This window comes from Homo sapiens, chromosome 8 (assembly GCF_000001405.40).
Source record: "Homo sapiens chromosome 8, GRCh38.p14 Primary Assembly".
Taxonomy (NCBI): domain Eukaryota; kingdom Metazoa; phylum Chordata; class Mammalia; order Primates; family Hominidae; genus Homo; species Homo sapiens.
The window spans coordinates 30,447,653-30,471,496 of record NC_000008.11 but is presented as its reverse complement, the minus strand read 5'-3'; the positions used below and the strand labels follow the sequence as shown (position 1 = coordinate 30,471,496).

The 23,844-nt window shown below is 39.3% G+C and overlaps 1 protein-coding gene across 20 annotated transcripts in view, besides 3 other annotated features; it reads right to left on the bottom strand.

Annotated features, from left to right (window-relative positions):
• Nucleotides 1-23,844, bottom strand: part of RBPMS (RNA binding protein, mRNA processing factor) — a 187,716-nt gene that overhangs the window by 100,760 nt on the left and 63,112 nt on the right. The window lies entirely within an intron of this gene.
• Nucleotides 9,435-10,230: an enhancer, noted in NCBI's record as "H3K27ac-H3K4me1 hESC enhancer chr8:30318783-30319578 (GRCh37/hg19 assembly coordinates)". NCBI's record gives its function as "activates a minimal SCP1, AML or CMV promoter by ChIP-STARR-seq in primed H9 embryonic stem cells {active_cell/tissue: H9 hESC(primed)}" and the evidence as "EXISTENCE:reporter gene assay evidence [ECO:0000049][PMID:30033119]".
• Nucleotides 18,128-18,629: an enhancer, noted in NCBI's record as "NANOG hESC enhancer chr8:30310384-30310885 (GRCh37/hg19 assembly coordinates)". NCBI's record gives its function as "activates a minimal SCP1, AML or CMV promoter by ChIP-STARR-seq in naive and primed H9 embryonic stem cells {active_cell/tissue: H9 hESC(naive and primed)}" and the evidence as "EXISTENCE:reporter gene assay evidence [ECO:0000049][PMID:30033119]".
• Nucleotides 20,890-21,184: a silencer, noted in NCBI's record as "tiled region #3907; K562 Repressive non-DNase unmatched - State 21:Repr". NCBI's record gives its function as "represses a minimal TATA promoter and a strong SV40 promoter by Sharpr-MPRA in K562 cells {active_cell/tissue: K562}" and the evidence as "EXISTENCE:reporter gene assay evidence [ECO:0000049][PMID:27701403]".

The following is a 23,844-nucleotide window of genomic DNA, read 5'->3' as shown; positions in this document are numbered from 1 at the left end:
GTGCCATTTATCTAGTGGTGCATCTTACCATGTGATAAATATGAATTAGAATTTGAGGAGTTAACCTAGAAAATAAACTATTATTTATAATATTGTTATAGAGAAAAGGGCTTCATAAATGTCAATTTACCAACAGAGGTTACTTGAAATCTGGGGATTATGAACAAAAGGTTACTTAATATAAACTAAGGTTCATCTGTATCATACAATGAAATATTACACAGCCAATAAAAATGACGTTCAAGGAAAAAGTATATATAGTTCCACTTTGTTCTATAAAGTAGCCAACATATAAGTATTTAGAGGAAAAAAATTTATCTTATAGTATGTGTACTCAAATGTTTCTATCGTTTAGCCTCAATGGTATAGTAACTGATTTTAATGTTTATTAGCTTATTTGTATTTTCCATCTTTCTAAAATAAATATGCATTAAATACTGTAAGTTTATTTTATTAGGTTGAGAATTACCTCAATTTATTACCTCCCTTTCTTTAAGGGACTAGAAACAAAGTCAATATTTGTATCAATATTATATTATAAAGTTTATGGAGGAAATTCTTTCTTATGTAAATATTCCATAATGGAAAGCGAAGAGATTCTTATCTTAGTGTTTCAATAGAAAATTGTCATACATGGGGAAAAAGAAAATCTGAGCTCCCGTCAGGCCTAAGTTTGCCACTCACCCATAGATGCCAAGAGGCTCAAAGCAACTCTGCTTTGTTCATCAAACTGGAGGCAGATCAGATGTTTGGCATTTTATTTAAACATGGACGAGACTTAGGTTACCTAGAATCTCATGAAGTCCACTATTGTTTCAGAAATCTACCAGAATATCTCATCTCACTCACTGAGATATTCTTTCCTCTAGTAGAATAGATTGACAAGGGGGAAATAATTTTTGAATACTTACATTATGTATTTGATTCCAACTAGAGGTCACTTAAATCCGGAAACATAATGTGCTTGGAGTCCTAGAGACCTCCTCAGACTAGGAAAGTCATCAAGCAAGTTTTAAAAAATCACGAATAATGAATGGAAAAAATAGCTTTCTGAATATCAAATTCATGCTTTTCTATGGTGACTGGGATCTAGAATCACAGATTTTTTTTTTTTAGATGGAATCTCGTTCTGTCGCCCAGGCTGGAGTGCAATGGCGTGATCTTGGCTTACTGAGACCTCTGTCTCCCGGGTTCAAGCCATTCTCCTGCCTTAGCCTCCCGAGTAGCTGGGATTACAGGTGCCCACCACCACGCTCAGCTAATTTTTGTATTTTTAGTAGAGATGGGGTTTCACCATGTTGGCCAGCCTGGTCTTGAACTCCTGAACTCAGGTGATCTGCCCGTCTTGGCCTCCCAAAGTGCTGGGATTACAGGTGTGAGCCACCGTGCCCGGCCTAGAATCACAGAAATATTTTAAAACATTTTAGTTTCTCTACTCTTATTACCATCATACTTTTCATCTGAGCCACTAAAGGGAGGGCACTTCAGAGTTTTGGCTTTGCTAAGCCTACTGAATTCATAGACATGATCCTTGCCTTCAGGGAGCTTACTGTCAGTGAAATAAACTGAATATGTAATGGCTGCCTGTGATAACAGAAAGCTTAGCTCATTCACAAAGTAACTAAAAAAACCCCAAGAGTAAGATACAAGCATAAGCAGCATGTAAATTTATGATGAAATACTCATTAACAAAACTGTTCCCCAAAAATAACAAATGAATTACTACGCCAACTGAACTTTGCAGCAGGTCAAAGCATTATCCAGAGCAGCCCTTAGTTTACCAGCAATGTCTATGGACACAGATGTGCCTGGCACTATGCCTTTAGCATCCGCAGATGTTTACTTTATGGAACACATGGGGAAACATATTTCTTAGACAAGTACACAACATGCCTCATAGAAGTTCAAGAGATGAAACTGCTGACAGCTTTGTCCCAAAGAGACTCAAAAAGATTTGTAGATGTACCTTCAACTTCCTTTTTACCCCAACAGGACTGAAAGAATAAATGCTAGTAAAAATCATCCTGTGCTGGGCAGAAGAGCAAGAGTGTTCTTGGCTTAGCCATTATCCAGCATTCCTGCAGAGGCTACAGTTAGATTTTGGATAAACTGGCCACGTGTTCTTAAATGGCATTGCCAGCTCCCACTAGGAAAGGCAAGACACATTTTATTGACTGTCTTCTCATTTAATAAACTCCGATTCAGTAAGTAAAGCCATTTGTGGCAGTCTTGAGCTTCCCTGGAGAGAAAGGCCAAAAGCAGGCCTTGAAATGGCCCTCTCTTTAATAAAGAGCATATCTAATCTTGTTGGTAATCTAGGCATGAAAATAAAAAGCAATAGAAAAATGCTCGACTTCAGTACACAACAGAGAATAATCACAGACACTTTTCAACTAGCAGCCACATCTGGTAAACACATAGTATCCAAAGACTATGAGCATTTTCTCTGCATGTTCTAGTTTTTCATAAAAGTTTTAAGGTCATCTATCTAGCTGCTCTGAGCTGGGCTCTTGAGGTTCCTCTTAAATTCATGGAACTGGGAAGGATAACTATCTTCTAATGACTCAGGAATGACTGTATAGTTACTTATTTGAAACACTCTTGAGTAAACCCATGGTGTTAATGGCTACATTCATCTCTCTCTCTATCTACCCATATTCTTATAGATATAAATGAAGACCTCAAAGCAGCTTTTAAATGTGCTGTATGTTTGAATCATTGTTTTGGAGAAACCATTCTTGAAACACACAGTGGATTCACAGATGAAACCTTTCTATGGGCATTTTAGAGTTTGAAGGCTGTTATTTGTAGTGTATAACACAGTCCTAGGCACAGAGTGTATGTTCTATAAATATCTCGACTGACTTAGAAACATATGCAAATCCAAGGATTTACATAATCCTGTATCCATGGAGATATACATATTTGCTTGTAAACAGTTCAGCTGGTGACATGGCAAGCAAAATAAGATGGCATTTCCCAGTCACAATTTATCAATAGAGTTACACAACATCAACTGACAAACACCTATATGTGTTTGTCAGGAGAGATTAGTATTATAAAGAAATTTAGAAGGGAGGAAAGGGAAGTAGGATAAAAACCAATCTGAATCAAGGAGAAAAATGTAAGAGATAGACTGAAATGGAGACAGACCCAAAAAGAGAAAGTGCAAAAAAAATTCAGGACCATATAGACCAGAATAGTGATCAATATATGGTTACCAGGAAAATTATCCACATTTTAATTTATGATAATTAAAACATACTTACAAATACATACGTCCAATTTCAACAAATGCAAATTCATACTTGAAGTTTTTTGGGGAAAGAAAAGCCCAAACTCATTAACCTGTATATTTAAAAAGCTGAGTAAGTAGATATCCAGATCTACTGACAAAGAACAAGGTTCACAATTATTAAGGGAAAAAGCAAACAGCAGGAACTGCCCATATTCCCACTTTAATTCTCTTAGGGTTTTTATAAGTTAGTACATGCTCAAGGGAAAAAAAAAAGGTATCAAAGGAATACATACCAAATTATCTATATGTTAATAGTGGAGAGGAAGGTAGAATTATAGATAACCTTCATTTTATGTATTTATACATTTTGGCATTTAAATTACAAGCATAAACAACTACTTTAAAAATGAGAACAAATCCAAGCCCAAATGTATTTCCTTCGTTTGAAAATACAAACTCAGCATGTCCACTGTCCTTAGAAATATTCTTTCTCATTTTCCTCCCTGTCCTTGATCCTCAGGGACAAGCTTGATCTGGCAAAAATATATTCATGTAACTTGCTTCACATTTCAATTCTGACCAAAAGTCAGTGTTTCTTTACTTCTGAAAAAATAATCTAACCAAAAAGGGGAACCAGTGACTAAGGTTGCCCCAGGAGCAGAAACATCCTGGTTTCAGTCAAAGGGGTATTCTTGCTTTGTGACTGCTCTACTAAGATAAGAACTGAGGGATCACTCCCATACCTATGGCAGTGCCATCCCTCTTCTGACAGACCATGTAATATAAACTTGGGTTTCAGAAACTGAGAAGTTAAGGCCTCCACATACCCATGCAGCATAAATCGCATACAGCTAGGGTGTTTTAATGCACAAGCGGGGCATCAGGGCCCAGCTTGTAAATTTTACACACTGGTTAACTTCTTTTACTCTTTTTAAATAATCTATTAAGTTATTTGTTAACTTTGTAACCATGAGCTGAAACACCAAGTTGCAAGACTGAACCCTGCTGAGGACTGCTGGTCATCTCATTTCCAAAGAAGGCTTTGTTGGCTTGGTAGGATTTCCCATTCAGGCCTTGCCACCATGAAAATGGATTACTGCAACCATTAATATGGCCTGTCAAGCATTTAATTCTGATTGCAGCTCAGCAGAAATGAACTGGCTTTGGTCAAGCTCCAGTTTCTAGTTGGCACTGACTTCAAGAAAAGCAGGTGGTCAAGTTCTTACTTCCTGATAATGGTCACCTATTGGACTTAAAAGACTTGTTCCTTTTCTGTGCCCTGGGAAGGCAAGTTTTGGTTCAGGAGGTCACATTGCTACAGACACCAAGGATTGACTAACCATAGGATTTAGAAAAGGGCCACTGGCCGGGTTTGGTGGCTCACGCCTGTAATCCCAGCACTTTGGGAGGCCGAGGCAGGTGGATCACCTGACGTCAGGAAATGGGAGACCAGCCTGACCAACATGGTGAAACCCCGTCTCTACTAAAAATACAAAAATTAGCCAGCGTGGTGGTCGGCACCTGTAATCCTAGCTACTTGGAAGGCTGAGGCAGGAGAATCACCTGAACCTGGGAGGCAGAGGTTGCTGTGAGCCGAGATTGCGCCACTGCACTCTAGCCTGGGCAACAGAGCAAGACTCCGTCTCAAAAAAAAAAAAAAAGAAAAAAAAGAAAGAAAGAAAAACCAAAACCACTGTGCTGTTGTTATGGACTCCCAGGTTTGGGTCTCGTTCTGGTCAGGCTGGAGTGCAGCGGTGCAATCATAGCTCACTGCAGCCTAGAACGCCTGGGCTCAAGTGATTCTCCCACCTCAGCCAACCAAGTAGCTAGGACTAAAGGTGTGTGCCACAACATCCAATTAATCTTATTATGTTTATTTTTTGTAGGGACGAGGTCTTGCCCAAGTTAGTCTCAAACTCCTGATCTCAAGTGATCTTCATACCTTAGCCTACCAAAGTATTGAGATTACAGGTGTAAGCTATCACACCTAGGCTATTTTAATATTAATCATTGCTCTTTCCTTTCTAAAAGAAAAAGCCATCCATATATTAATAATTATCCAGAGTACGTGACTCCCTAGTTTTGAGGGATCCACTAGTATTTGCTGTAAGTGACAGTTATTGGCTGACACAATCTGTAGAATAACCAAATTCATACCCTGATTTAGGGCCTATGGAAACCAGGGTCCCTTTGCCAAGGTGATCACAAAGTTTTTGGTAGGATAATGGGAAGAAGGAAGACTAATGGGAGCACAGGTGGAAGAGAGAAGAACAATGATGTTCCATAATTCATAAGGCAGGACCTGAGCACTGCTCAGACATGTTCAGAGAATACGGACAGCAAGTTAGCACTGGGTATACCACACCACTATGTTCAATCTTTGAGGAGCCAATCCCAGCCCAATCCAATGCTGACTTCTAATCAGAATGTTTCCTAAGCTCTAATTCTGATAGGACTTTTTTCTTCTTTTCAGACAAAGTCTCACTTTGTCACCCACGCTGGAGTGCAGTGGCACGATTTCGGCACACTGCAACCTCCACCTCTCCCAGGTTCAAGCGATTCTCCTACCTCAGCCTCCCAAGTAGCTGGGATTACAGGCGCCTGCCATCACACCTGGCTAATTTTTGTATTTTTGGCAGAGACAGGGTTTCGCCATGTTGGCCAGGCTGGTCTCAAACTCCTGACCTCAGGTAATCCACCTGCCTCAGCCTCTCAAAGCGCTGGGATTACAGGCGTGAGCCACTGTGCCCCGCCTGATAGGACTTCTTAAGAAGCAAACTCCAACTCAGGCCATTCCTCATGTCTGCCATATATCTAAAAGGAAAAGAGAAAAAGTGAGAATTCCTAGGATTTTAAGCTGCCAAAGTATAGGCAAGAGAAGTGTCTGCACATGTGAACACTTAACCTCATTATTAAGAAATTCCCTTAGTACTGTCAGACACAGAAGGAGGGAGGTATATCAGATACAAATCAAGAATTTAATGTGTGAATTAGGCTAGACAGGAAACTAGATATATGTGTGTATACATGAGAGAACTTAACCTTGATATTAGGAAATTCACTGAATGCTGTCAAATAAGAAACATGGTTGTCAAATCCTTAGAGTTCAACAAGAAGTTCCTTATAAAGGCAGGATGCTTCATCCCTTAACTCTGGTCCTGTTCTTACTCCATCCTCTAGTTCTTCTAACTAATTTTTAGGTGGCTTGCTCTATTTCAACCCTAGTCAGCCTATGAAATGTTACTTTTCATACAATTTCACTGCATACACTGCTAAAACATTAAGTTTTTAAATGTATACATCAGTCCAATGTATTATGAACATAAAGTTGCATTCTAATGCCCTAAGGTGTACATGCCCTTACGGTTTCACCCTAAGTACCCTGAAGTTTAATGTCAAAATGATCACCACAATAAAGACTTTTCCATGGACTGACAAAATGAAATACAAGCACAGAATATGAAAAAGATCTTATCAAAATTCTAAGACCTCTCTTCCTTTCTCTTTTTGCATAATCTGGGTGACTCATTTTACAAAACAGATTTGTTCAAAGAAACAAGTCATTTCACATCTCTCAAACTACCTAGTTAAAACTAACCCAGACAACACAGAGTTCATGGTCATTTAAAGTACCAGGAAGAAAAAACAGACATTGGCAGTTTACAGTTTCAACATTGCCCAGGACTCTCAAGTATTTATTGCTTTTGATATTAGCAGTAGACAAACTCTATCTGAGGAACTTCATCCCATTGCCAACTTCAGTTTACAATGCATTCTTAAAACTATGCAATATGCTTCTAACAATTAGAGAAGGTGTGAACTAGAAAGCTGGGGTGGGGGGAGGTTTATTTCCCAATATTTAGTTATCAGAAATTACCCAATATATAGTTTAAATTCCTTGGTGCCAGGTCAGTTAGTTCACCTTTAAATTGAAAGTTCTTTCCCATATGATGGTGAGCATCCCAGTACTTGGCAGGAGGTGATCAGTATCTATCAACTAAATGAGTGAATGTAAAAATTGAGTCAAAGTACTAAACCAGATATAAAAGAGAGGGCCGTATCATTCATGAATATCTAGATATGAACACGTAAATATGAAGAAAGTCATTATAACTTTTTTTATTTTAAAGAAACGGGTTGCACTGGCACAATCATAGCTCACTGCAGCCTCAACCTCCTTGGCTCAAAAAGATCCTCCTGCCTAAGCCTGTCAAGTAGCTAAGACAACAGGTATTCACAGCGGGCCTGGCTAATTTTTTTGTTTTCTGTATTTGTAGAAATGAGGTCTCCCTATGTTGCCTAGACTGGTCTTGAACTGTTGGGATCAAGTGATCCACCCACCTCCACCTCCCCAAGTCCTGGGATTACAGGCTTGGGCCACCAAACCTTGTGAGTTCGAATATGCATTCAAGAGGTTAAGTGCTCAAAGCATGTGGTTCACAGAACAACCAAAAACACATGGAGTCTGCTGGGATTCAAATCCAGGTTCTGCAACTCACAAGGTATGCACTTGGACAAATCACTTAACCTTTCCCTTCCTAAGTTTCCTCATATTAAACTATGTCCACAATTTCTTTGATATTCCTCCCTTAAAGAAGTGGAGCTTAATCCCCTTCACCTTTAGCATGGCTTCACTTAAGTGATTCGCTTCTAGTGAGCAGAGTATGGCAGAAGTGACAGTGTATGACTTCTAAGACTGCATCAAAAAAGGTATTCTGGCTTCTTTAGCAGAAGCAGCTCTTGAATTACTCACTCTGAGTGAAGCCAGTTGTCATGTTGTGATAATATTTTAACCCGATGGGGTGGTCCACGTGATGAGTAACAGAGGCCTCTGGCCAAAAGCCATGTGAGTGAGCCATCTTAGAAGCAGATCTCCCACGCCTAGTCAAGTCTTCAGATGACCGCAGCCCCAGCTAAAATGTTGTGATTCCAACCTTATGACCCTGAGCTAGATCCACCTAGCCAAGCTGCTCCTAAATAACTGTTAAGCTGGTAAATTTGGGGTAATTTGCTACATAGTTTTTGCAAGGATTAAATGAGTTAACTACATGCAATGTGCATAGATTTCAATGCTTGGTTCATAGTAAGGGCTCAGAAAAATGTTATCTATTATAAGGTGGCTTACAATGTTCACAAAAAAGATGCATTTTCATGTACCAAAGGCAATCCTAAGAGAAGGTGCATGTGATGGTATTATCATGCAACTGTTATACACAGGCTTGAGGTGGGCAAGAGAGAAAGTAAGTCTGCATCCTAAAAGGAACCAATGCATAACTCAAAGTAGAAGCATTTTTCGTATTACGGACCCCAATAGTATGACTCAAAATCTCTTCATTACCATCACTCTGTCTACCTTTGTAAAAGGCCGCGGGCAAATTTCACTCTGGCCAGCACCCCACCATCATGCTCCTCATGCATCCTTCCAAAATCCATTTCTTAGATCTCAGTCAACTTTTGGCCCATCAGGAAAATCTCTGTCTCTCTTTATATTCCATTTTTGAGATTAAAAACAACAACAACAACAAAAAATCAGGCCAGGCACAGTGGCTCACGTCTGTGATCCCAGCACTTTGGGAGGCTGGGATGGCCGATCACTTGAGGTCAGGAGTTCGAGACCAGCCTGGCAGACATGGTGCATGGTGAAACCTCGTCTCTACTAAAAATACAAAAATTAGCTGGGCGTGGTGGTGGAGGCCTATAATCCCAGCTACTCGGGAGGCTGAGGCAGAACCACTTGAACCCAGGAGGAGGAGGTTGGAGTGAGCCGAGATTGCACCATTACACTCTAGCCTGGGTGACAGAGCAAGACCCTGTCTCCAAAAAACAAACAAACAAACAAAAAAGTATAATGTTACTTAATTTTATAATATTCCTGTTTGTTTAATCATCACTTTTTATTGTAGTATATGGTATTTTAGCTACTTTATATTTACATTAAAATCCATACCTGATTGTATCTCATATGATACAAAAACAATGATAACACTGGTTATGGCAAAGATGCAGAGAAACAGAATCTTTCACATATATTGCTGTTGGGAATGCAAAAAGGTACAACCACACTAGAAAACAGGTTCTAATCAAACTACACAATTTCCAAACAATCTAGCAGTTGTACCCTTGGGCACCTATTCCAAAGAAATAAAAACTCATGTTCACACAAAAACCTGAATGGTTAAACAAATTAGATATATCCATAACATGGGATACTAATCAGCAATGAGAATAAATAAACTACTAATACAAGCAACAACTTGAACGACTCTCAAGGGAATTACACTAAGTAAAAAAAGCCAATCTCTAAAGATTACATAAGGCATAATCCCACTTATCTACTCAAAAGCAACCTCAGAGATCTCTGTAGTGGGGACTTGTTCTGTAACTTGACTGTGGTGGTGGATCCATGAACACACACATATAATAAAACTTCACAGAAACAAAATTAGTGGATTATATCAACTTCTTGATTGTGACATTGTGCTACAGTTTTCTAAGATGTTACTACAGGCAGAAACTAGGCAAAGGGCACAAGTGATCTCTCTGTATTCTTAGAACTGTACATGAGGCCGGGTGCGGTGGCTCACACCTGTAATCCCAGCACTTTGGGAGGTCAAGGCGGGTGGAACACGAGGTCAGGAGATCAAGACTATCCTGGCTAACATGGTGAAACCCTGTCTCTACTAAAAAATACAAAAAATTAGCAGGGCGTGGTGGCACGCGCCTGTAGTTCCAGCTACTCAGGAGGCTGAGGCAGGAGAATCACTTGAACCCAGGAGGCAGAGGTTGCAGTGAGCCGAGATTGGGCCACTGAACTCCAGCCTGGGCGACAGGGCGAGGCTTCATCTCCCAAAAACAAACAAACAAACACACTGTATGTGAAACTACAATGAGGTCAAATTTAAAAGTTTAGTTAAGCAAATTTCAGTATACGTTAAATAAACTTAAATATTTAAAAATGTTGAAGAAAAATTGTCCCTAAAAGTTATCAAGTCACTTTTTATAAGGGGCCTATTTAGATTATATAAATCACTTCTTTATGATGCCATAATCCTGTCAGGAATAAATAATTATATCAACATCAATGAAGAGATTGGTATCAGTTGGTAAAGCTAGGCAGTAGAAGCTATGTAGTTAGGGGTGCATATGCATTTTTACTTTAAAGTCCCACCAGAAGACTGGTCTTTTTCCCGTTAATTTCTTTTTTTTTTTTTTCAGATGGGGTCTGTCACCCAGGCTGGAATGCAGTGGTGTGATCTCGGCTCACTACAAACTCCACCTACCAGACTCAAGAGATCCTCCCCCACCTCAGCTTCCCAAGTGGCTGGGACCACAAGTATATGCCACCATGCCTGGCTAATTTTTTGTGTTTTTGGTAGAGAAATACAAAATGTCAAAACATTTATCGAACTCCTGAGCTCAAGTGATCCACCCACCTCAGCCTCCCAAAGTGCTGGGATTACAGGCGTGAGCCACCACACCCAGCTCCATTAATTTTAATTGACTAGATTCAATAATCTAAAAGGCAATAAAATAAACACGACCCTTTAAAAAGAGAGGTTTCAACTTATAATTTTCCTGATTTGTTTAATCACTACTTTTTACGGTAGTATAAGAAATCTTAGCTATAGTCTCCTTTAATATCTATACTTAATTCCAGATATATCTGATGTAATATAGAAAATAAATAGCAATAATATAAATGTAAAATATTTTGAAGCTAATACCAGGAAAAAGACTAAGAGTGTCAAGCCTAGGGACGTTCACAGAGCATAGATGTATATGTAGGCTAACAGGGCTTTGGTGAGCTCTCTACTAAGAACCATCCACTTTTCTAAAACTGTTTCTACAGAAAAAAATCCATCCAGCCACTATTTAAAACACCACATGGCTGAAATACAAGTTTTTAGAACACAACCTATTTTACATTAGTGCCTTTCTCTAATTCGCAAACTAGTTTACTTAACACTATAAAGCCCAGTGCTGATAATGAGTACTTCCAGTAAAAAAGCAAACTTCCATTTTAAAGTTTAGATATTTTTAAGTTTGGATTTTTAGTTTAGATTAGCTTTTCCAATTGTTTGCATTTCAAATTTCAGAATACATTCAGTACATTTAGGCTACAATTAATATGCCCCATCCTACTTAGTACTCTCCACCAAAGACATATTTGTTTAATCTGATAACCACCTAATTATGTCTGTTAACCATTTATGTGGTTGCATGAATCAAGTCAATATTAAGTTTATATGTTGCTTATATGCATGTGTAACTATGTAAAGAGACACAGATCTTACAAGTCTTGCTATGATGTACAACTAGCAATGTTATGTGCCTGCTGGAAACAACAAAAGACAACAAATGTGAGAGGAAAAAAAGGGCGAGGTTTGTGGTTGAGAAATAATCTAGGTTAACATGATTATATGTACTTTTAAATTGATCTAAAATATTTTTTAAAGTTTATTGAGCTATTTAATCTGGCACTGTATAAATTTTTAATGACTATAATGGGAGGAAAAGACCATTAAATTGAGGAGTGTGGCTTAAATCATGTTTCTGTTTTAGAACAAACTGTTGAGGGCTTAGGGACTGACCTTGTTGGGTCTCAATTTCCTTATTTATGAAATGAAAGTGTACAAGGGTTGATCTCCAAGTTCCATTCCAACTCCAAAGGTATAATGAAAGGCTTTTGTTAAAAGCATAGAGGTCACCGAACACCAGGTGGGAAGACCTACTTCTTGCCATTGAGAACCTGTCAATCGAGCCACTTTTCACCACATATTTATATTTATTTAAACTGTACAATCTATTTATGTTTCATGTAATAATTAAAATAGAATGAAGCTGGGCACAGTGTTCATGCCTGTAGTCCCAGCTACTCAGGAGGCTGAGGTAGGAGGATCACTTGAGCACACGAGTTCAAGGAAAGCCTGAGCAACAGAGATCTCATTATTTAAAAACAAAAAACAAAAAAAAACCACAAACAAAACCAAAAAAAACCACTGGGGGCAGTGGCTCATGCCTGTAATCCAAGCACTTTGGGAGGCCAAGATGGGAGGATCACTTGAGGTCAGGAGTTCGAGACCAGCCTGGCCAATATGGTGAAATCCTGTCTCCACTAAAAATACAAAAACTAGCCGGGTGTGGTGGCACGCCTGTAATCCCAGCTACTTAGGAGGCTGAGGCACGAGAATCGCTTGAACCCAGGAGGTGGCGGTTGCAGTGAGCGGAGATCGTGCCACTGCACCCCAGCTTGGGTGACAAGAGTGAGACTCCGTCTCAAAAAAAAAAAAAAAAAGCCAACATGCTGGGTGTGGTGGCTCATGCCTATAATCTCATCACTTCGGGAGGCAACAAAGTGAGACCCTATCTTTACAAAAGCTAGCTCTGGATGTGGTGGCCCATGCCTTTGGTCCCAGATACACAGGAGACTGAGGCAGGAGGATCAACTGAGCCCAGGAGGTTGAGGCTGCAGTGAGCCATGTTTGCACCACTGCACTCCAGCCTGAGTGACAGTGAGATCCCGTCTCAAAAAACAGTGTCTGAGGCCACAAATTTAAAGAATTTAGCACAGAATTGTCAGTGCAAAACAAGGGAAATGGACTACAGAATTACTGATGTGCAACCAGTTCATCACAGACACTGACCTAACAGCCATGACTAAATCTATTTGTTTTTGTTTTTTGTTTTTTTTTTCTTGTGAAAGAATTACTCAGTAGAGAATAGTGTTAAAGCATATAAACTGTAGAGCCAGACTGCCTGGGTTTGAATCCCAGCTCCAACACCAATTAGCTGAGCAATCTTGGACCAACTATTAATTAAATGAGTGCTTTAGTGTCATCTGCAAAATAGGAAGGATAACAAAACCTACCTCTCAGGGTTGCTAAGAGGAATAAATCAGTGAATATTTGTAGAACATTCAGAAAAGTACCTGACAGAGAGACTAAGTAGGACCCAAGGTTTTTTTGTTAAACAAATTCAGTAGGCCCTTGCTATCTGTGAGTTCCACATCATGGATTCAACCAACCACAGATCAAAAATATTCTGAGGAAAAAAAATGCATCTGTAGTGAACATGTACAGACTTTTTTAGGTCATCATTCCCTAAACATTATAGTATACCTATTTACATAGCATTTATATCATATTAGCTATTGTAAGTAACCTAGAGATGATTCAAATGTACAGGAGGATGTGCATAGGTTATATGCAAATACCATGCCCATTTTATATCAGAGACTTGGGCATCCAGGTTTTGGTATCCTCAGAAGTCCTGGAACCGATCCCCCCACAAATACTGAGGGATGAATATATAAACTCCTCAAATGCTACCTTGTTACACTTTCTGCTAGCAGGGACAGAAAAAATACTTAAAGAATATAAATCAAGGCTAGGGCGGTGGCTCACGCCTGTAATCCCAGCACTTTGGGAGGCTGAGGTGGGCAGATCACGAGGTCAGGAGTTTGAGACCAGCCTGACCAAAATGGTGAAACCCCGTCTCTACTAAAAATTAGCTGGGTGTGGTGGTGTGCGCCTGTAATCCCAGCTACTCAGGAGGCTAAGGCAGGAGAATCACTTGAACCCGGGAGGCAGAGGTTGGAGCCATCGCACCACTGCACTCCAGACTAGGCAACAGAGCAAGACTCCATCTCAAAAAAAAAAAAAAAAAAAAAAAAAAAGAATGTAAATCAAATTCTAAAACTTAGGATTTCATTTAGCTACAGATATTTTGAGAAGTTACCCATAATAAAACAGTGCTTCAATTGCTATTAAAGAAACAGAACATTACCACTGAACAAATTGCATATCACTAAACAAATTAAACACAAATATTTCATTATTAATACTGAATTTCCAGTCTGAAATGCTTATTTATACTACTACCACCATGACCACCACCTTTCAGGACCTTGGAATTTACAAAGTTTAACCTGTGAATGAGAATACAGATTTGTAATATATCTGTAAAGAGCACAAATAAAATAGCATATTTTACAGAAACCAGCTCAATATTTTCCATTTTGTGAATTTCAAACATCTCGGGCAGTTTCCAAAACTGTTCTCAAAACTGAGAAAGGATTCTCTCAAAACTGTCAGAACCTGGGGGCATATGAAGGATGTTTCAGAGCAGACATGACCCAGCCTGTCAGTGATCTTTGGAACCTGGTATGACAGGCCAGCATTGGCCAGAACACAGGCAAAGATATGTGCAGGCAAACAGTTCTCACAGTGCCAGAGAGTCTGTGTTTTAGTACGACCAAATAAAGATACGACCAACATCCCAGATATGCAGTTCTGTTGTGCCAAAGGTTCTGAAAGTTCTGTTGTTTCTTTGTGTGTGTGAGATGGAGTCTCGCTCTGTCTTCCAGGCTGGAGTACAGTGGCGTGATCTCGGCTCACTGCAACCTCCACCTCCGGGGTTTCAAGCAATTCTCTGCCTCAGCCTCCCAAGTAGCTGGGACTACAGGCGCACGCCACCATGCCCAGCTAATTTTTGTACATTTTGGTAGAGACGGGGTTTCACTATCTTGGCCAGGCTGGTCTTAAACTCCTGACCTCATGATACACCACACGTGACCCAAAGGTTCTCAATCACTCTTGCAAGGCCACATCTAAGCTATTGTTAATTACAGGTAATTTGTTCCGATCCCAGTGAAAGAATTTCCAAATATTCTAAATATAATAAAATACAAACTCTCATCAGAAATCTTAAAAGACTGTATATGTATGTTAAACTACAATATAACCATGATTTTAAAAAAAAATCTTTTTAGTGTGGTTAATGTCACACACCACATGCAATACTTTTTTGCTAACTGAAACTGTGTCAAAAGTACTATGGACCCAGGGAATAAGAATATGGACCCCTTAGCCTTACACCTCATCCCTCAACACCATCAGAGTGTAAGCAGCGCTTAGACAACTGGCTCACAGACCTTCGATGACCTTTTAAGGCTAGCACAAGCATCATTTTTTTGCCCAAATATCTTCATCTTTGCTGGAGAGTATACCACTCATCAGAAATTTTCGATTTTATTTGCAGTGTCATCTTAGATGACAAAAACTAGAAACGCTAAAAAACAACAAATATCAGATAAATATATAACATACACACAGAAAGACACACATCTAGTTTTTGAAATGCATTAAAAAACACACACACAACAAAATTATTGCTCTTCTGACCTCATTCAACACTGCTAGCATGCATCAGTTTCTTCCAATTATATCAAAACAAAATCCCCAAGCCTCTGGCCTTCAGATGTTCCATTCATTACCTCCCTGGGTTCTACTGGCTCAGTCTTAATACCACACATTGCTTATTCCCGAATAAAAGCATTGTCTTTTATTTATTTATTTTTATTTATTTTTTGAGACAGAGTCTCACTCTGTCGCCCAGGCTCGAGTGCAGTGGCGTGATCTCAGCTCACTGCAAGCTCCGCCTCCTGTGTTCATGCCATTCTCCCGACTCAGCCTCCCGAGTAGTTGCGACTACAGGCGCCCACCACCACGCCTGGCTAATTTTTTTGTATTTTTAGTAGAGTTGGGGTTTCACCATGTTAGCCAGGATGGTCTCAATCTCCTGACCTCGTGATCCACCCACCTTGGCCTCCCAAAGTGCTGGGATTACAGGCGTGAGCTCCCACGCCCGGCCTGCATTGTCTCTTATAATTATTCTTTACTTCCAGAGAAGGCTCTCTTCTACTCTTAGAAGCCCAAATTAAACTCTCCTTCCCCAAAGCAGCTTTCCCCACTGCCCCAATTCTTTTTCTCTTCTGTACTCCTAATGCATTGTTTATACCACAGTCAGGACTTACTTTTTTTTTAATTGTTTCACAGGCTTTAGTTAAGTCCTCTCCAATTTAATTATAAATTCCTTGAGAGTAGGCAAGGTATCTCATTCACTTATCACTATAACTTTGAATCAGAGATTTAAATTTCCTCAGACCAGGGATCTAAGTTTCCTTTTGCATTGGAATGACACACTCACTTAGAGAAAGCCCTAACTGGGTAGTATTTAAATTATTTCACAGAAATGGTCAGGAATTTAGTTTTAAGAGGAAAAGACTCCCTTCTCACTTATCCATCATAAGCAAGAATTTAAACCCATGAAATGATTTATAAAATACAAGAATTTGAGGCCGGGCATGGTGGCTCATGCCTGTAATCCTAACACTTTGGGAGGCCAAGGCAGGCGGATCACTTGAGATCAGGAATTCGAGACCAGCCTGGCCAACATGGCGAAACCCCGTCTCTTCTAAAAATACAAAAATTAGCCGGGTGTGATGGCGGGTGCCTGTAATCCCAGCTACTTGGGAGGCTGAGGCAGGAGAATTGCGTGAATCGGGAGGCAGAGGTTGCAGTGAGACAAGATCATGCCACTGCACTCCAGCCTGGGCTAACAGAGTAAGACTCTGTCTCAAAAAAACAAACCAAACAAACAAAAAGAAACCCAAGAATTTAAGAACTCAAATTAGATAACACTACTTAATTTAATCATGGATTTATACACACAAATAATAGATTCAACAATGTGTAACACAGTAGTACCCTAAAGTATTTGATAATTCATCTTTTTGTCTGAGACACAAGGATTACTCCAATACTAAATTAGAGGCCAACACATTTATTTCTTTATAAGAAACAAATCCTTCTGCTACGTTCAAAGAGGATGGTACATAAACTATGTAATTATAAGGAAAAGAATGCATAATTCATTTCTCTAAATAACAACAATTTGTCCCTGAGGTTGAAGCACACTCACAAGTTTAATGTTAAGAAAAGGAGTTGCAGAGTAAGACATGGCAAATCACACATATAACCTCTCCCCATCAGCCCCTACACATATACCCCTAATGTACTTCATGACGGTTCGCCATTTTACTGTTTTAGATCTTGTTTCCTTGCAGACTAAATGTAACACTTGCCATCTTCAGGACACTATCCATGGAACAGACAATAGTATGAATAAGTTAATAAGTTAATAAACTCACACTAAGTTAATACTCGTTAATCAAGTATGCTTACATTATGGACAAACAATATCATGCAGTATTTAGCTATACACACTTTCTGGTTTTCAATACTAAACTAGCAATCCTGAGCTGCCTCTTTACTGCTGCTGGGGTAAAGTATGTTCAAGAAAACAAAAGGGATGATATGAGTTCAAAAAAATATAATCAGAAAGGTAATCTGCTGGGAGAAGGATCACATAATTCAGTATTTCTTAAATATGCCTGATCTCAAGAATGTCCAGGATGTCTGTTAACAGACTGCTGGAGATCCCTCCCAGAAATTCTGATTCAGTCGATCTGGGGATGAGGCTTAGGAGTATGAATTTTTAATAAGCAATACAGATGAACTTCCTGATCAAGCACATTTGGGAAATATGACTAAATCCACAGGAAGGTTTTCTAGTTTTAAAAAAACATACAAATAACATTCAATTGTACCTACTCCCACTGAGATGAGATTGTGGCCCTTGAAAGCTCCTATTGCCAAGTGCCACTGAAGATCGTTGGGAAGATTTTCTTGATCTTGGAGCAGAGGCCTTTGAATCAGGCCGTGAGTGAATCTCACACAGGCAGAGAAAAATTAGACCCTTTTGTATAAGAAACAGATTTGCAATTAGATTTTATAAGGTACTTCTGCAGTTATTTAGGAGGAAATAGCTAAATCTGTGCTTATACTAGTGATAGCATGAACTTTCACTATTATTCTTTACTGTGAATAATGTAATAAGAGAACAATTCTTCTGAGACACCCCCACAATTTCCAAGAAGCTAAAAGCTGTTTTGTTTCTTTTTTTTAGAAAAGTAGAATATATGAAAAGCAGATCCACAAACCAACAGTCAGTGATTAATTAATGAGTGCTTCCTACTTATAAAGAGTTGTAAAGCAATTCACATCCATATTTTCATGTAGCATTTTATTGAAATGTAGATTCTGATTTAGTAGATCTAACGTGGGGGCTGAGATTCTGCATTTCGAACTAGCTGTCAGGTACACAGATCATATTACAAGATTCTACATGAACCGTTACCCAAACTTTAACATACATTAAGGACCACAGGGAGAGTATGATGGCTATTTAAAGTGAAGAATCCTGGATACTCTAAGTAAGGTTGGGCCCCTGGAATTTGCCTCGTTAACAAGGACTCTAAATGATGCGGATATAGGCAGCCCATAGAACACACACTGAGAAATACTGCTGCAGAGACCACAATGAATCCACGAGGAAGGGGAAAGAAGACATCTGTATCAAGTAACCACACTTGAAGGCAGAATGAGATACCTGTTAAGAACAGTAACCCTCAATTTGCTCTGAAAGTCAGGAGATACTGACATTTTCAGAAGGAAATCTCCAAGGAAAAGATTTTGGAAGTTCTGACTAGCAAACAGTAACTATTAAATGTGAAAAGGATAGTTTTTAGACAAATAGCATATCTCACATGACACAAACAAGTGCCAGGAGTCAGTCTCCCACATTCTCTGATAAATGGTTTTGAGCTAAAGCTAATTGTCCTGGTATATCCCCTGCAGTAGAGAATACTATCAGCAACTCAGCAATTGGCAGGAATTTGAGGGCTAAGGACCATTTGGCACTCTTCCCTACCTAGGCATCATTATAGAAGTCAAAGATGACAGAATTACATGAACCACACAAAAGAAATGAGATACGGATCCTCCCTATGCACTCACTAGCAGTATTTTTAAGAATTCTTGTAGGGGGTGGAGGTAGGAGAGATAACAAATATACTTACAATGATCATGTTCTTCTGGTGTCTGGATAAAATGCCAGCAATGAGTATCTAACTGCCACCTGGTGATATTCTACCTCCAACACCCCCCAATCCCAGCCCTGCCCAGTGACATCTAGTCTAGCATTTTGCTTATTATGGTTTGGATGCCTTCTCTGTAAATGGTAACACTGGGTACAATCATCTCTGTACATCAAACATGAGTTACTCATTGCTTCCAGTTCTCCCGTACCTTGGACTTTACAGACCCTGATTTCTGGCCACTTATGACAGCCCTCAGGAATGCCCATATTTTTCTTAACTAAGGACTGATGATGTAAAATGCCATGCTTGATCATCACCTTCTTCTTACAACCTGTTTGGCCTTAGAACCTGTACTGATGATCTCTCAGACACACGAATGCAGCCTTGTTAAGGCATCTCGCAAAGGAAGGCAGAGTGATATGGAGGACAAAGCACTTGACAGAAAAGGCCTGTGTTCTAGTACTAATGGCCCTTGACTGCTGCTTCCTCCCTAAAAGGTGCCATCTATGGATGTGACGTCTTTCTGAGGGACACCTGAAATGATACTGTGGCTGAAATATGATAGAAAAGAAACACAATCATTATATGATGGTTTCGGGCTAATGACAATGCCTGGAATAACACTGTTCTATTTGCCTGCCGTCCCCCAGTCCCTAAAAGATAGGAGAGATTTGGGAGATTTGTTACAATTTGATATTTAAAAAACAAATGGGCTAAATGTCTCCATGAATGAAATTTGCCCCTGAAGCCTGTGCAAGTATCTCTAGTTTCTCATTTTTCTCTATTCTTAGCAGTATATCCATCACCAACAGACTGTTGCCTGCTGGGAAAAAAATCAGTAAAATGGCAGTTTCCCTGAGAAAGACACTAGCCTCATTCACACTTCTAGAGAGCCTGAAATAACGTGAGCTATTCCAAAGAGAAAACTGTTTGGGGTGCAGGGGACAGTGGAGATAATAATCCATATCTATCAGAATCTCAACTCAGTTCCTGGGCAAAGCACTGTTGCTTTGCTTGACAGACAACATTCACACGACCTGTATCAAAACACCCACTAAATAATGAAAGACATCTCAGTCTTGCCTGAACAACAAAGCCCCATGAGTACAGACACTATGTCAATGGCTGAAGCAATTCTTGATAATATGTCATTTTACACATGAAGTTTATTATAAACAGAACAGCCAATGACAGGATATGATTCAACGATTTTAGCTTGGAGAGATAGGAGAAAGAAAAGTCTCAGGGCATTGAAATGGCAGGTGTGAATCTAAAGACCTCAGAAGCCCAGGGCAGTGAAATGTGTTGTAGTCCACCTACTTCTACTACAGAGCCAGTTACAAAAAAGGACACACTTGTTATAATCCAGAACCCTCAGCCTGTACAAGACCCCAGGATGGAAACATTTCTTTTGGCATGCAAAGTAATTACATTTTCTACCTCCAGGGCTTTTCAAGGAGTCTATTTTTTCAAAAATATTAAGATACTGGCTAGTCACCATATTTTTTGATATTTTTTACTCATTTTAATATACATTGTAGGATTTTTACCAGATATATATCTGCCTTTCATCAGTCAGTACCATAAAAGGCAAAGGAGAAGTAATTTTATTCTGAAGCTTCTTTATTTTTAAATGAAAGTCCTTCCTTTAATTTTCAAAAACACACTTTTTTTTTTTTTTTTTTTTTTTGCTTTCAGGCAGTGGGAAACCAAAAGCCACAAATAAACTGGTCACTGCATTTACCTGTTGTTATAAAAGACTGTGCCAGCTTTTAGAACTCCAATTATGTTTTCACAGCCATGCAGCTCTCTGGAAATACTATGCAGCACTTTATGAGATGACTTCTTCTCTTTCAAGTGTCATGAATTCCAAGACAAGAAGTGGAACTGAAGGCCTGGACAGCAGTGGAGGCATACTACCAAGGTTGCCATTTGCTCATGACCTGGGAGCTGCCAGTCAGTATCACAGGAACTGACTCTACCTGAAGTGACCTCCCATGACATCCTTCCCACCTCCTCCTCAAAGTCCAGTTGTGGGTTTAGGGAGTAAAAGCAAACAGATACTGGGCTGAAACCATCCAGTGTTTCCACCAGACTGAAACTAAGTCTGCCTGCTAGAGAACACCAAATCTAAGATAGTCCATCTATAAATCCATCTCATGCTGAATTGCTTAATTATGAATTCTTAGAAACTAGCATGCAAATGATTAAATAGTCTACCTCCAGGGTTTTTAAGCAACTTACTTTTAAAAGAATATTAAAATGCCAACTAGTTACTATGCTCGTTGATTTTAAAGTGTCTATATGTAGCAATCTATAATTTTAATCCATTCTCCCATACCCTCACTTTAAGAGGAAAGTTATTTGGGAAAAGGAAACCATGCACTAACTTATTTTAATGCGGCAACCTGCCTTCCATCTGTGAGCCGTTTAATACCTTCATTTGTTTAAAAGAAAGATAAACTGTTCTTTAAAAAGGCTTGGAGCCCTGCTTCTAAACAGGACATCCTAGTTGACTTGAAGTGTAACTAAAAGTAAATTGTAATTTTTGAAGATTTTCTGTTGAAACCAAATTCTAACTATAAAACTGTAGAATCTGGCCCTGAAGGAGGTCTTTATAAAATAATGGAAAAGTACTCTGTGAAAGGCAAAATGCCTAAGAGGCTATCAGAGAAGCAGAAAACCTGGCCTCAAGCCTCATAGGAGCAGCAATGCACCTCCAGTGAATCACCCTGAGGCCAAGTTTCTCCTTGTGTGAGGTACAGGTGACAGTGCTTGCTTCTGTCTCCATTTAAAAAGGAGGTGTGGGCCGGGCACGGTGGTTCATGCCTGTAATCCCAGCACTTTGGGAGGCTGAGGTGGGCAGGTGACCTGAGGTCAGGAGTTTGAGACAAGCCTGGCCAACATGGCGAAAGCCTGTATCTATGAAAAATACAAAAATTAGCTGGGCATGGTGGCGGGTGCCTATAATCCCAGCTACTCCGGAGGCTGAGGCAGGGGGAATTGCTTGAACCAGGAGGTGAAGGTTGCAGTGAGCTGAAATCGTGCCATTGCACTCCAGCCGGGGCAAGAGTCTCACTCTGTCTCAAAAAAAAAAAAAAAAAAAAAGAGGAGATGTGAGGAAAAGGATCCAATCGAGCTGGGTGGGGGCAAGAAACAGGACATTATTCAAGTTGCTTCAGGATATCTGAACATAAGACTAAGTCAGAAAAGATCATGTTAGTTTCCTACTACTTAAACAAAAACAACAACAACAAAATCCAAGTTTAAAAACATTATAGTTTTCCTTTTTGTTTCTTTTCTTTCATTTTCAGGCACAACAAAGCATTGAAGGAATACGTGCCACAATGGGAACTGTTCAAAAGCCTGACAATGTGCAATTAGCAAGGTTCTCAACACTGTTTACCCTTGCAGAAGTTACCTGTCATTCTCCAGTACTCCCAGCTATAAAGTTTAACATGCCAAACTCCCAAATTTCTAGGCCTGACTTCAATCCCAGGGGCTGAGTAAGAAAGCTAGCCAGGACAGCAGTTAAACGAAAGACAGCAAAGTTCCCCCCCATGGGTATGGTCTCGTAATATTTTAATAATCTGGACATAGAAAAGAAATGAAGAGTATATAGAGTTGTATAATAGTTGCCAAACATACTGCCAAGCATTTTATTACATGAACTATTTAATCCTGAATCCAACAGATACTACATTCTATTTCTGTCGCCACTTTATAGATAAGGAAACTGAAGTTCAAAATAACTTGGTTCAACATAACTAGAAAGTGATAGAGCCAGGATTTGAATCTTGAACAAGACATGAGTCCTGGGTCCAAGAGCTGTCAACCATTATACCCATTTCTACCCACTGCTCTCTGTATACTTTTTCTAGTTTTTACACATTTCTGCAGGCTTTTTTCTCTGCTTCGTGCACTGCTGCTTTCATCTTGAAAGTGTATACTTGACAGAAAACATGCCTTGACTTGAATTTGAGAGGCAACCTAGTCAAGATGGGAGGGAATGGAAAAGGACCTGGTTTTAAGACTAGTACTGAAAACAGGCAGGACAGCTCATCTTGAAGCCAATGGCAGGAAGAGCAATAAGAACACATACTTGGAATGCATCTGCCCTGCAAACATCTTGGTGTTTTCCACCTCAGTTAGGCTGTACATCCAAATATGCACACAGGAAGACCTCACACATGCTTAATGTTAAGGGCATGTGAAAAATGTCAAATACAAGTTAACTCTTGCAATGCTTACCCAACATACAGCTAATAAGTTAAATTCTAATATTCTAAAAGAATTAGGCAAACATTTAGAACAAGCCTAATTTATTTTTCTGTGTTCCATTCTGAATTAAACAGTGGGCACTACAATTGTAAACCATCTAATAATTTTTGTTTATTTGCTTTCCGTGTCAGAGTCCCCTTAACTTTTAACAGCATATATATTCTCACAGAGGAAATTTAGGAACACTGAAAGGATGGACTATAGATTGCTGAGGTAAGAGGACTAAGAGGCTTTTAGAAATCTCCTGTTTGTATCAGAGAGCTATCTATAATCCATCATCTAGCAAAAAAATGTAATCACAAAAGAGATATGTGACAGTTATGTATTAACACTGTTTTAAAATTCCCCAAATTACTACGTATCATTTTTAAAATGAGTTAGATCTCCATTACTGATATAAAGTCTAAGATTCATTGCTAAGTTAAAAAAAAAGATGCAGATACAATTTTGTATAGACACAATAAAGTTCTGAAAATATTTATTTCAATGAAAGTTGAATAGACGTTTACTTTCTCCCCTTTGTTATGGAATTCATTTTTCTTTT